The sequence below is a fragment of the Homo sapiens genome, chromosome 18 (assembly GCF_000001405.40).
Source record: "Homo sapiens chromosome 18, GRCh38.p14 Primary Assembly".
Lineage (NCBI taxonomy): Eukaryota > Metazoa > Chordata > Mammalia > Primates > Hominidae > Homo > Homo sapiens.
In genome coordinates, this window is record NC_000018.10 from 73289032 (window position 1) to 73304584 (window position 15553).

Genomic DNA, 15553 nt, shown 5'->3' on the forward strand with positions numbered 1-15553 from the left:
TTATCCCAGCATTTGGGGAGGCCGAGGAGGGTGGATCACCTGAGGTCAGGAGTTCAAGACCAGCCTGGCCAACATGGTGTAACCCTGTCTCTACTAAAAATAGAAAATTTAGCTGGGCATGGTGGCTGTAGTCACAACTACTCAAGAAGCTGAGGCAGGAGAATTGCTTGAACATGTGAGGTGGAGATTGCAGGGAGCTGAGATTGTACCACTGCACTCCAGCCTGGGTGACAGGGTGACAGAGGAAGACTCCATCTCAAACAAAAACAAAACAAAACAAAAAAAAAGTGCTTTGTAATGAGAATAATTACTATTACCTGTGAAGCTTCCTTGCCAAAAGCAACAACAAAAAAAGTTTAACTAAATCTAATAATCATGTGGAAACACTAAGAAAAACATTCTGAAAACACTGCCTTGGAATATTTTTAAAAGTCAGCTGTAAAAGACCAAAAAACTTTGCAGGATGCTTCCAGATTAAGGAAAAATGAAAGGATGATGATCAAATGCTATTTCTGAACATTGATTAGATTTCCTTTGAAAATGAGCAGATACAGTTATTTTTGAGGAAAAATAAATTTAAATTTAAATATGGACAACATATTAGGTAATATAATTAAATTAATATTTTGTATCTTGGATATTATAAAGGTATTGTTTTTATGTTAGAAAATGTTCTTATTCTTAGGCAAAACTTTATTAAGTTGTTCAGTGCTGGAATATCTACAAGTTCCTTTTTTTTAGGTGAATAATTAATATTTCAGCTTTATTTGCAGGTTTTTTTTTTGCTACTATCAGCTTTTGAAATTTAAATATATATCTCCACTGCACACTCCCAGCATCTCCCCAAAATAAACCCGCAAACTGATGATAAATATTTTGACAGATAAACGTTTTGGGTGTGCAGTGAATATCTCCACTGCACACTCCCAGCACACCCCTGAAAAACCCCACAAATTAATGATACATATTTTGGCAAAAAAAAAAGAACTCCCATCCTGGGCTTTTGCTAATATTCAATATTTTAAACTCTTTTTGTATTAGTTCAACCTCTAGCTCAAGCCTCTTATTAGTTACTTGGGGTGTGGCTTTTTAAATTTTTTTATCTTTTTAATTCCAATAGTTTTGGGGGTGCAGGTGGTTTTTGGTTACATGGTAAGTTCTTTAATGGTAATTTCTGATATTTTAGTGCACCTGCCACCCTAGCAGTGTACACTGTACCCAATATATAGTCTTTTATCCCTCACCTCACCTCATTCCCAACCTCCCCTTGCTGAGTGCCTAAAGTCGACTACACAGCTTTTAATGGTTTTGCATCCTCATAGCTTAGCTCCCACTTAGAGAACTAATAGTATTTGGTTTTCTGTTCCTGAGTTACTTCACTTAGAATAATGGCCTCCACCCACCCAAGTTACTGCAAAAGACATTATTTTGTTCCTTTGTATGGCTGAGCAATATTCCATGGTGTATGTATACCACGTTTTCTTCATGCACTCATTGGCCGACGGGCACTTAGGTTGGTTCCATGTCTTTGCAGTTGTGAATTGTGCTGCATGTGTCTTTTGCAGGCTCAACGACAACACAAGAGCAGGACAGAGACGGAGTAATTTGAATATGTTCATCATTCAAAAATTAAATAACATGCACATTTGAACTTAGTACTAATTATTCTCTTGAACATCGGAGCTTAACACATTCATTACATAGAAGTGGGTTAAGTTTGTTATCAGAACACAGGGTTTCGCTTCTGGCTGTGCCACTTTTGAGCGTTGTGACCTTGAGAAAGTTGCCATACCTATAAAAGGATTATAGCACAATCCTTAGACTGGGAATGATGATGGCAGTTTTGAAATATTAAATAACACTAATGCTTATATATCACTCAGCACTGCATTTTGTACACAGTAAGCACTCACTTGATATTAAACTGTTGCTTACATACTAATCAACTGTGTATCTGGTTTTATTATCTATATAGACCTGTTATGTTCCAAGCACTTTGAAGGGCATGAGAATACAATGCTGCGTAAGATACAAAACCCTGATGTTATCACAGAGCTTACAGTAAGATCGGAAGGACAGACAACCAAATAAGAAATTATAATTCAGATTATGAAGTACCATAGCCTAGTAGTAAAGGACACAGTACAATTTTACAGCAGAGTCATCAGACTTAACCTAAATGTATCAAGAAAGAAGCCAATATGAAGAGACCTTAACAAGGGAATCTGAAGGACCAGTGGAAGAGTGGACATTATCTGAGCATGAAAGAAATGTGTGTTCATGGAGACAGTATACATGTCTATATTTATGACAGGGCACTTTTTCAAAAACTGTAAAATTCAGAAAGCAGGGATATATAATATGGTTAAATAAATGATAACAAATATGTCTGGGCCAGTTTTAACATCTTAAGACTAAATTATAATATTTTACCTCTACAGCAGTAAACAGCGTAAGTGCAGTAAAGTACTACATGATCAAGAAAGTAAAGTTTAAAAATTATAATAAAATAAAGAGCATTCCTGCCATTAACAATTATTATATTAGGCTGGTACAAAAGTAATTACTTATTTAAACTATTAAACTTTAATAGTTTATTAACTTTAAACTATTAGGTTGATGCAATTACTTTTGTAATTACTTTTGTAATTACTGGCAGTTTTCATAAGACAATGTAGCAACATTGAATTGATGATGGAAAACTAGTATGTTCATTATCTTTTCATCTAGCAATAATCTCTCAATAGTCTTGTAATATCAAATCTTAAATTATATTTTTTCTTTCCTGTACACATCCTAACTTCCTTTAGCTTAGCGATTTTGTTAATTATCTTTATTTCCAGAGACCACCTGAAAGCCCTCAGCGGATATTTAGTTGTTAAATAAGTGAATGAATGACTCCCTTTTAGTAAATCTCAATAGAAACAATGAAAGAGGCCCATAAGGCTATATGGCTTATGGCTTAACAAGTCTAATTATTGAGTGTGACATGAACATTAGATATCATTTAAAGAGGGCATACATCATCACGGAGTATAAAAATGGTTTCCATCCTTGTCATACAATTTTAAAGCAAAGACTTTATAATCAGACACCTGTCATCCATGCACTATAAGGGCAGGCTACAATACAGTGATGTATGAAATTGACAAAGATGTCTGAGATTTAAACATGCATGCATATAAGATAATGCGAAGACTTTCGTTCATGTATTTTTTTAGGAACAGAGGTGCAAGATGAAAAATCGTATTTCATACCTCCTTTGAAGCTTCACATGATCATGATGTATGTCCCAGAGTTGCTCTGTAAGGACAGAAGCCAACCTGGGAGCCAGCCAGTGGAGAGACATATGTTAAAAGACTCAGAGCATATGGATATTACTGAAAACTGAAGCAGTAAATAAATAAACCATAAAGTGAAAACCGTATGTGGTGATGAGATTTATTAATCAATGCCAATGATATAGAGGATAAAACTGTTTATCATCATTAATACAAGCACTTTGACTTCTTAGGGTATCTTTAGTAACTGAGCTCCACAAGTCAGAAATCATCTATAATTCCAGAAGCCGCCAGAAAATTAAATTCCTGGAGTATTTTAAGTTTGCTTAGATTCATGCATAAGTCAACTATTTCAAAATGTAAAATATTTAAAGCAAAGCACCTAGCTGTAAATCCAGTTAATTTCCAACAAGCAACTTAGCGAATAAATTCATGCAATAATAAAATTAATGTGAAAGTGGTCAGGAAAGCTTTAAAAAGTACCTAACCCTCACATTCATTTGCTTATCATCATTCATGACTTTCCGTCCTCAACACTCACTTTGTGCTAATCACTGGGCTAGACAAAAAGTAAAATAAAATAAAAACTAGAAAAAATTGCTAACAATTCTTTAGTGCTAACCATACACAGAGCCTTTTGATGTTGTACGTGCATTATTTTTTAAACCCCTCAATAACAAAATGAGATGAGTACTATTGTGGTTTTTTTGAGATGGAGTCTCGCTCTGTCACCCAGGCTGGAGTGCAGTGGCGCCATCTCGGCTCACTGCAAGCTTTGCCTCTCGGGTTCACACCATTCTCCTTCTTCAGCCTCCCAAGTAGCTGGGACTACGGGAGTCTGCCACCACGCCCTGCTAATTTTTTGTATTTTTAGTAGAGACGGTGTTTCACCGTGTTAGTCAGGATGGTCTGGATCTCCTGACCTCGTGATCCGCCTGCCTCAGCCTCCCAAAGTGCTGGGATTACAGGCGTGAGCCACCGCGCCCGGCAGTACTATTGTTATTCTTATTTGACAGGTCGTGTGGTGGGGGGAGGGGGGAGGGATAGCATTAGGAGATAAACCTAATGTAAATGACGAGTTACTGGGTGCAGCACACCAACATGGCACGTGTATACATATGTAACAAACCTGCACGTTGTGCACATGTACCCTAGAACTTATACTATAATTAAAAAAAAAAAAAACAGGACAAAAAAAAAAAAAAAGGAAAATTGAGGCGCAGCGCATGTAACCTGCCTTAGATGACGCTGGTTGTGGGCAGGGAAGCCTGGCTTTCCATCCTGATGATGGGATCACAGAATCTCCACTTTTAAACAGTCCTTTATCCTGATCTTCAAAGCCAAGCACGGAAAGACAAACATGGTATGGTCTCACTTGTGAGATCTAAAAATCAAAACAATTGAACTCATGGCATAGAGAGTAGAAGGTTGGTTACCAGAGGCTGGGAACGGTAGCTGGGGGCTTGGGGGGAGGTGAGGATGGTTGATGGGTAGAAAAAAATAGAATGAATAAGACCTACTATTTGATAGCACAAGAGGGTGACTGTAGTCAATAACAACTTAATTGTACATTTGAAAATAACTAAAAGGGTGTAACTGGATTGTTTGTAACTGAAAGAATAAATGCTTGAGGGGATGGACATCCATTCCCCATCATGTGTTTGTTTCACATCACAGGCCGGGATCAAAACATCTCCGGCACCCCATAAATACAGATACCTACTATGTACCCACAAAAATTAAATAAATAAATAAATAAATAAAACTTAAAAAGTGTGTTAATGGGCAATTATGACACCAATTGTTATAACAGAACTAAACACAGAGGGAAGAGGAAACATAGTAAATAAAAGTTAGTTTATTTAACATTAATAAAAGAGTCAGGGAAGCTTTGTCAGAGAAGAAGAGTGAACTCATCCAGCTTCCCACAAAAAGATTAGACCATTTTTAGCCAAATGATAAAATGGGAGTCAAGCTGGCAGAGGGGCATTTCAGCCTGATGATAGAACGTGTGTGAAGGCTTAAAAGTAAGGATGGATTTGGCAGGTTCAAGTAAAAACAGCAGCTCCATTGACTGCGAGCCAGTTAAAGGAAAGGAATGCCTTCTGAGCGGGGTTGGGAGGAGCTGGACTGGACACAGGTCGGGACGTGGCCACAAATGGGCCAGGGGAAAGGCCAATGTCATCTTCGGGGCTGTCAGTTTCAAGCAAAAGGGAAAGGATGCCACATTTGGATTTTAGGAAGAAAAACATACTGTGCATCAGAATGGATCAGAGAGGACAACAATAAAGACGGAAAAATGATAAATTGTGAAAAATCCAAGTGTAAGATATTCAAGTAGTGACAGGGGAAATGGAAGTGAAAGCGTAAACAAATATTGGGGATTGGAGATGTAAATTTGTTAGGTCTTGGGCCAGTATGAGATTACAGGAAAGAGAGGGAGGGAGAGAATTCAGATTTCTGACATGGGAAGGGGATGCATAGGGTTTTCGTCAGGAATGTTTAGGATTCAGAAGGAAGAAGAGACGGTTGGGAAGTGTGCAGGAAAGGGAGGATGGCATCTGCTCTCCAGGCGTTATTCTGCCCTGAGAATCCTGGATGAAAATATCTAGGAATTGTGTCTTAATCTGGCTGGAGTGTGTGCAAAATGCCAAAGCAGTGGTTAATTCAAACAAAAGCAGTGAAAAAAAATCAGATAAATATCAAGTGATTAAAGTAATTTCAATCATTTAAAGTAAAAAATAATCAGTTTGTGTTAAATAATTGCCACTATACCAGTGTCATGGACTTTGTGTTGTGATTACTTTTAAGCATTTTGACCCACTGTGATTATGGCCCAGGTCTCAGAATTTCCTATGTCTTTACAAAATAATTATTTTGGGACCAGATTAAAACACTAGTAAGTATTTTCACATCTGTATTGGAGTAAAAGATGCAAGCAGCTAAAAACTAATTTTTTTTGAGAATTTTTAAATAAAATAAATGTGTTGGTTTTTATAAGCTACAATATTTAACATTATATAGAGTTTAAGTTTTTATAAAGCATGTTCACATTTTCTTAGTTAATGCTTAAATTAAGCTTTTGAGGAACGTAGTGTTACAACCAGTTTATAAGTGAGGAAACTGACTTTCTAAGATTTTATCTTATATTTTTTTCTGTCCAAAATTAATCAGCTAATATGCAGAGTCAGGCCATTATTTTAGTCTCAGTATTTAGATCATATATTCTATTCTCTTTTTCTACCTAAGTGAACATTTAAAGTATTAAAGTATTTATTTAGTAGTAGGACTTCTGATTCAAAATACTGTCTTCTGAAGACTCTAGGATAATTATGGCAAGGAACTAAAATGGGAAATACATCTATGATAGCAAAAAAATTTAGAAATGAGCCACACGGAGGAGAGACATATCAACACATTTATGGAAGACAAAATTACATGGAAATTTGGAATTAATGGTTTATAGTGAAGACAACACTGTAGAATCCGTCAGCAATGATGATGTCTGCCGATCTTCATGGTGGGACCCCAGGACAACATTTCGAGTTTCTAAGGCTCCAGCGAGAGAGGAAGAGTGAAGCATGGCTGAAACAGGGTCACTAAGTGAAAGCCTACCCACAAAAACCATCTTTACCCACTGTGCATCATCCCAAAGCATTCGGGATAAACATAGGCACAAAACGAAGACGCCACATTTTGAGCTGTCGATCATGATTGAAATATTCTCAATCTTGAAAATGTGAAAACAAATCCACAGTTGGCTATAGTTGGACAGTCAGAAAGGATCGACAGTTGTGTTCAGTGAGGCATAAACACCTTTATTTTGTGCAGAGGAAAACCAAGAGATACTTTCGAATATTAATTTGCCAACAAATAGAGGGTTAAGTGAAAGCTTAAAGCTAACACGTAAGCCATAGAACTAAAAATAATATAACTGGACAAAATGAGAATGAAGAGATAAAGTCGAGGGGGATAATGTAAAAAAGAAAAAATTTATGTTTCAAAATTCAAAGGGATAGGTACTGTTAAGAATTATTACATTGAAAAATTGATGCATGCTTGTATCATTTACAGTTGTTGAAGCATCAACCATGAGAAGTAAGAAACAGGAAAGTGGAAAAGTGTAGCCTCTGTGAATGAAAATGGAGTGGGCACAAGTGAATGGGAGACCATTGCTTTTTACAAAAATGTATCTTTTATATCAAAATATTCCATAATGTACAAATTATTTCATGTGCATAATATATTTTGATAAAAATAAAGGCATTAGTCACCTTACAAAACATATTGTCCTCCATATTTTCTTCTTCACTTTTGTCTTGTGATAATATCTATTGCTTTCTAACTTTGAAAGTTAAACATTTTGTCAAAAGCATAATGCAATTTAAAAATTTTCAAGAGTTTTAACTGATTTGAGTCAGAACACAAAACCGGTTTTTTAGATTGATTTTCCTTGCTCAATGATCTTCATATATCCAACTAATCTTTGACCTCATCACATTGCATAATATCCTTTGTGTTGTCTGTCTTATATTCTTTTACGGTCAAATGCAGAAGAAGCCAAGGTAATTAAAATAAACAGAAAGAAGCAAACAAAAGCAGCAGCTGAGACCAAGATACCTGCAGGGGTTGGGAGGATCCTTTGCCAAGTGTGGCCTGGGCCAGGGCCAGCACTCAGACCTCAAAGATCAGCAGGTCTGCATGCAAAAATATGAACAATCAGAAAAATGGTCTAAGCCAGTGAATTTAGAAGTATGATTTGTTTTAGAACTTGTCATTTAATTCCTCATTTTTAAAAAATTAATTGGAATAGTTACTTTGGAACAAGAGAGAAAATCCCAATGTACAAATTTTTGTTCATTTAGTAAACAGTCATTTAATATCTACATATGTAAGCACTTTTTCAGGTTCTTAGAATATCTCAGTGAAGAACACAGGTAAAGACCCTGTCTCAGTAACAAATTAGAAAGAACTATGGCTGTCCTCAGATTATTTGAATATAGAGTCAAATTGTTAAAGTCTAATTGTTGTGTCTTTACTGGGTTTATCATAAGCATACACTTACAATTACTAAACTACACAGATATTATATACAACAAAGAATTAATATTGCTTAAAAGGCATAAACCACAACTGATAAAACAAGTGTAACAATACAACTCTTAGAAGGTTAGAAATGGAACCATCACACGATGTTAATGAGTCAGAACAGCTGCTACCTGTTAATGAGTTTAAGAATAAAAAAGAAGCAATACCAACACTCTATCAATATAGTAAATGGCTCAATCCCCTAGTTATTAAGCAATACATAATAAAACAGCAATTAGATGATGAAATTTATGAATTTAGGGTTTTAAATTTATTTAACAATCTCAGCTGTGGCTGTGTTAAAACACGCCAGACATTAATTAAACATTTTACCAATATTACTAGGCTAATTCTCATAACATTCTGAGGATGAGGTACTTTACACTCCCACTTTGCAGATGAGACAATTCAGACACAGTTTGAAAAACTTGACCAGAACACACCTCTAGTACATGGTGGAGCTGAGATTAGAAGCCAGGTAGTTTAGCTTTGGTGTATTTTTTTTTCTTTTTTTTTTTTTTGAGATGGAGTTTCACTCTTGTTGCCCAGGCTAGAGTGCAATGGCAGGATCTCAGCTCACTGCAACCTCTGCCTCCTGGGTTCAAGTGACTCTCCTGCTTTAGCCTCCCGAGTAGCTGGGATTACAGGCGCCCGCTACCACGTCTGGCTGTTTTTTTTATTTTTAGTAGAGACAAGGTTTCACCATGTTGGCCAAGCTGGTCTCAAACTCCTGACCTCAGGTGATCCTCCTGCCTTGGCCTCCCAAAGTGCTGGGATTACAGGCGTGTGGCACTGTGCCCGGCCGCTTTAGTGTATTTTTAACCACAACACTATACTTGGAGGAAAAGTGGCCTCTGACTAGTTGCTCTTAGGAGCATAAATTGTTACAACTTTTAAAAAGGAATATAACAGTGGATATTAACATTTATAATGCACATCTTTTGAACTAGTGGCAAAAAAATAAAAATAAAAATAACACACACACACACCACCACCTCAGAAATAGGCAGACTGATTAAGAACAGGTAAAGTTTAAATAAATTATAACACATCCACTCAAAATGACCCATGTGTCTATTAAAATAAAGCAGGTTTGATATAAATGTGTACTCCAAAGGGTCATTAATAGTATATGATCAAGGCCCCCCAAAAAAGCAAACCAGATACTAAAAAGTAATATTGAATATAATCCATTTTTATAGAAAACAAAACACTATCTGTGCATATATATTTGCATTTACTCAGCGCGTGATCAAAGTAAAATCATGGGACAATGCATGCTACACTGTTAACATTGATTATTTGAAAGTCTGAGACTGAAGAAAAGGATATTAATCAATAACAATATTGGCTAAAGTGCATTGAGTGCTTACCATTTGCTTTAAGAGACCAGGATAGGCCGGACGCGGTGGCTCACACCTATAATCCTAGCACTTGGGGAGGCCGAGGCGGGCAGATCACCTGAGGTCAGGAGTTCGAGACAAGCATGACCAATAGGGTGAAACCCCCTCTCTACTAAAAATACAAAAACCTAGCCAGGCATGGTGGTGGGCACCTGTAGTCCCAGCTACTCAGGAGGCTGAGACAGGAGAATTGCTTGAACCCAGGAGGCGGAGGTTGCAGTGAGCCGAGATTGTGCCACTGCACTCCAGCCTGGGCAACAGAGTGAGACTCCATCTCAAAACAAAAAACAAACAAACAAACAAACAAACAAAAAACAGAGAGACCAGAATAAATAATAAAGATAAGGACAATAATCAGTGAATCAGAGACAAACAACAGACAACACAGAGATGATCAACAAAGGCAAAATGAAAAAGATAATGAAACAGAATAATCTGTGCCAAGACTAATTAGGAAAAGACAAATCACATGGAAGTATGAAATAGAATAGATTAAAATGAATTCAGACACAATGGCAATTAATAAAATCATGAGAATACTTTATAGTAATTCATACACCAATAAATATTAAGGAATTCAAAAATTTATATAATAAAAGATTTTTATAAATATAAGTTTGGAGAGACTAACAATCAAAAAATGATAATAAAAGAACTTTCCTCAAAATAACCCAACTCTGGATAATTTTACAAGTATGTTCTACCAAGCTTCCAGGAGACAGCCGATGTCTTTTATAAGTTATTCCAGAAAAAAATCAGAGATAGTTGCCCAGTGAATTTTAGGAAGATAATATATACTTAGTTTCAAAATCAGATGGCAGAATACAACCAAAGATGTATTTAAAAGCATTAATAAAATATTATATAATTTATATTGAATTCAGCCATCATTTACCCAAAGACGTGCATTAGAATGAAATGAAAATTCAGGGTAGTTTAACATCAGAAGATCTATTTATATAACTGACATTATTAGTGTCTAAAGAAAAAATTATGTATTTATCTTCAACAGCTTCAAAACCCTCATTTGGCAATACTCAACTCCTACTGCAATCACAGAAAAATGTTCTCAGATAAGTTGAAAATTTAGGGGAATCATGCCACTTGATAAAAGCTGCCTGTAAAAAAAAATACAAAAAAAAATACTTTAGAGAAAACATTATATCTTATGTTTTATTCATTGTGATCAGGAATGATATTGATACCAGGGATTGCTGGTATCCCAACACAATGTTGGCGTCCCAGCCTACACAATAAAACCACTGTGCAAGAGAAATGATAGAGGAGGTGTTAAAGTTGGAAGGAAAGTGGGGAAACAGATCACGAAATAACACTGAACTCAGCATTCACAGTGGGACATCCCGTTTCAGCTCATGGCTCCTATTATCACGTGTATGCTAACTATTCCTCTCTCTAGCTTTCTCTTTTACATGTTACCTAAATTCTTAGTGGCACAGATGCTCCAGAGCCTCCTTTTCTCAACCTAAGTTTCCTCCAAATTTCCTAGGTAAGTCAATGACACCCTTCTAGTTTTTCCCTGTAACTTGCAAGGAAAATCCAGAATTCATTTTTAAGTGATTCCTTTTCTCACAGGTCTGCATTCAATCAAATGACCAATTTATGTCTGCAATCTCTCTCCTTTCCACTCCCAATGTCATTACTCTAACTTAGATAATTGTAGAGTAGGGTATTTGTGACATGATGGCAACAGCAGTTTAATGGTGAGAAGTTAAATAGAAAAGAACGAAGCACACCAAATTGGTAGCAAATATTGTTAGGGTTAAAACATTAATTAGTATAAGTAGAGAAAAGCAGTGTCGGAATGGACTCTTCCTTCTAGGTAATAACTCAGGAATTCTGAATTTGAGTCTTTTCAGAGCAGTATGCACCATTTTAGTGTTGCATGCAAGTCTATTTCACGTTTCATTATTGTGTTAATACAAACAGGGTGCTTTACTAACGGCAAGTATATGAATGAATTCAAAATGAGGCATTTTAAATTTATCTATATATAGTTACTGATTTTACTATTGAATAGTGGGATTAAGGATTATTTTAAAGACACAACAAAATAATGGCTGAATTGTTTAAAATTAGTATATTATTTAACACAAATTATTAAAAAAGATAACCTAAATGATTATACTTTCTGCTCAAAACCAAAATAATCAAGTTAACCCATTGCCCAATAAACATCTTAATTGAGTCATTCTTTAATAATGGTGATTATCTGAACTGAGTATTCACATGTGTTTGCACATGGGATTCCTTCCTTTGAACCATTCTTCTTTTCTGCTTTTTATTATGATGAAATCTTACTCAGTGAAGGTAACTTCTCTTTGAAAATATCTGATTTAGATCACTTTATGTTCTCAGGAATAAATCAATGCATACACAATATACATAATATATAAGACAGTGATAAATAATATAGAGAAAAAATGCAGGTGGAGATATGGATTTCTGGGTTGTGGATGAAGGAAGTCATTGCAATATTAAATAAGATGTCACTTTACACCTGTTAGAATGCTTACTACCATGAAAACAAAAAATTAGCGATGGCGAAGATGAGAAGGAAAGGGGACACATGTTTGCTGTTGATGTAAAATGATGCAGCCACTATGGAAAACAGTTGGGAGATTTCTCAAAAAATTAAAAATATAACTATCATAAGACTCAGCAATTTGAATCTTGGATATATTTCCAAATGAATTGAAACCAGGATTTCAAAGAGATGTACACTTCAACGCTCATGGCAGCATTATTCACAAGAGCAAGATATAGAAACAATGTAAATATCCATCAGTGAAAAAACTGATAAAGAAAATGTAGTATATACATAGAGTGGAATTTTCTTTGGCCTTTAAAAAGATAGAAATCTTGCTATTTGCAACAACATTGATAAACCTGGAGGATGTTTTACTAAATGAAATAAGCGAGACACAAGGTAAATACTGAATGATACTACATAGATGGGGAACCTAAAATTGTCAAACTCAGAATGTGGAAGTGGAACAGTGGTTGCCAGGTGCTGGGTGAAGGGGAAAATAGATCTCTGTCAAAGGTTACAAAGTTATAAAGATGGATAAATCCTGGAGATCCACTGTACAGCATGGTGCCTATAGTTAGAAATACTATACAGCTAACTGTATATATATGCCAGTATAAATACTGGCATAAGCGCTAGAAAGGAAGATCTTCTGTTAACTGTTCTTATCACAAAGTAATAATAATAATAAATAATAAGCAAAGAGGGAGGGAAGAAACTTTTGGAGGTAAGAGATATATTTATGGCATTGATTTTGATGATCGTTTTATGGTTGTATACTTACCTCCAAACTCATCAAGTTGTACACATTAAATATGTACAGCTCTCTGTATGTCAATCGGAGCTGAATAGTGTGTTTCTTTTGTAAATCAATAAATAAGGCAGTCTCACAAGACTTCGTAAAGAAGGTGGCATTTGAAATACAACTATTGGTTTATTTTTCATATTTCCACCCTAAATTAAGCTAGAATAAACTATAATATCTTTTTTAATCACCAAGTATGTGTTGTTATTGAAAAGCACTGATGCTTGATCAAAGATGATTTTGACTACAGTATATTTAGGATTTAGTGTATCCTAATTTCTTTGGGATAACTGATGTTTTTTGATACATACAAACTAAAAATATTCTGAAAAAAAAATCCAGCTGGAATAGATCAAAAATCCATATTAAACCTTAACTATATCCTGAGATTGTTTTAGTGAATTATGTTTAATTTCTTGTTTGACCTTGCCATTAGCTATAGTAAAATGATTTTGAAAACTCTCAAGGTAACATGGATTTTCAAAGCATCTGCAAGGGATGTTAATGATGCCTTGAATCATTATATTCGTCAACATAAAGATCAGCCAGGATGTTTGTCAAACTATTAAATAAATTAGTTACAGACATGGAGGAAACTCAAGGCAACTAGCAATTTATTTTGGATTCTGTACATTTAGCAGATTTGAGCATGGAGTAGAACAGGCAGAGGCTATCTTGTAGAATTATTCAGTCTGGCATTCGTATTGAACTGGAAATCCCAGCATACATCTAGTTTATGTCTAAGATTTTTGCAGTAATCACTTCTCACTTCAAGTATTGCAGTCAGTAGTAGTGGAGTTGCTGTAGGTGAAGCTTGACAGAGCCAGCACTAACATACATTTTCCTTCCTCTGACTTTCCCTCCTCCAACTCCTCTTCCTTTTTCTCCCTCTTCATTCCTCTCCCCCTCATCCTCCTCCTCATCCTGCCACTCCTTCTCTTTGCTCTACTCTGTCTCCCTCTCCTCCATTTTCTCTCTCTCTCTTTTTTTTTTTTTTTATACAGGGTCTGACTCTGTCACCCAGGCTGGAGTGCAGTGGTGCAATCCTAGCTCATAAAGCCTCGACCTCCTGGCACAAGCAATTCTCCCACCTCAGCCTCTCCAGTAGCTGGGACCACAGGCGTGCACCACCATGCCTGGCTAATTTAATTTAATACAATTTTTTTTTTTTTTTTTTTTGTAGAGACAGGGTCTTGCTATGTTTCCCAGGCTGGTATCGAACTCCTGGCTTCAACTGATCCTCCTTCCTTGGGCTCCCAAAATGCTGGGAACACAGGCATGACCTCTCCTTCTTTTCTTCTTCTCTTTTCCCTTTTCACTCCCGCCTCCTCTTCTTCCTCCCCACATTATCATCATACAATCATTTTGAAGACCCCCTTACAGAAGAGTAACTCCTGTGAGCTCTACACATATAAGTGACTTGGTGGCTGTCATCTTTTCTAGTTTGTTGCCAAGGTAATACACAATGTAGAATGCTCAGAAATAGACATTGCAACTATCATAACAAATGGCCTATGTAAGCTGAGCTTATGATCAAGTGGACCTGATTGCTGAAGCAGTGGAAGCATTCTGCCATTTCTTTTCAGATGCTTCAATTTTCCAAACTGTAAATCTTAAGCTGGTGACTACCTCTCTCACATTTCTAGAATGAGATAATATTTTCTCAGATTTGATTTTTCGTGTTTGTTTTTCTTTCCATTTTTGGGAGCAAGACTTTCTAGGACATTTAGTGGGGACACTCTTCTATTTTTCTTTTATTTTGAGAACCAGCAGACAGTTGTTCCTCTTAAGGAGAAAAAAGAGAAAAATGATGGGGGATTGGGCAGGCCCTCTGTAGAGAATTTTTATTTCTCAAGGGGCCATACTGTAAACAAAGCAGCCTCATGCCTAGAGCAGCAGTAACAAAACTGAGATAGTCCAGAAAAAGCAAACAGAAAAATGCGACCTTCTTTACAAGGCTATGAAGCAAGGGCCTGTGCAACACAGAAAGGAGAGGTTTGGGACACAGCGGGAAGAGTCCTGGTCCCAGGCCTGGCTCCACCCTCAGCTCACACCACACAAGGTCACAACATCTCTGGGGCTTTGCTGCCTAATCAAAAAACAATGGGTTGGGAAAAGGATCTAAACTAAAATGCCAACAGCTGAAAGGAATGTATTTATTTTATTTTACTTATTTATTTATTCATTTATTTGTTTTGTTACGGAGTCTCACTCTATGGCCAGGCTGGAAGTGCAGTGGTGTGATCTTGGCTCACTGCAACCTCCGCCTCCCGGGTTCAAGCGATTCTCCTGCCTCAGCCTCCCAAGTAGCTGAGGATTACAGGCATGCACCACCACCCTCAGCTAATTTTTGTATTTTTAGTAGAGACAGGGTTTCACCATGTTGATCAGGCTGGTCTCAAACTCCTAACCTCAGGTGATCTGCCCG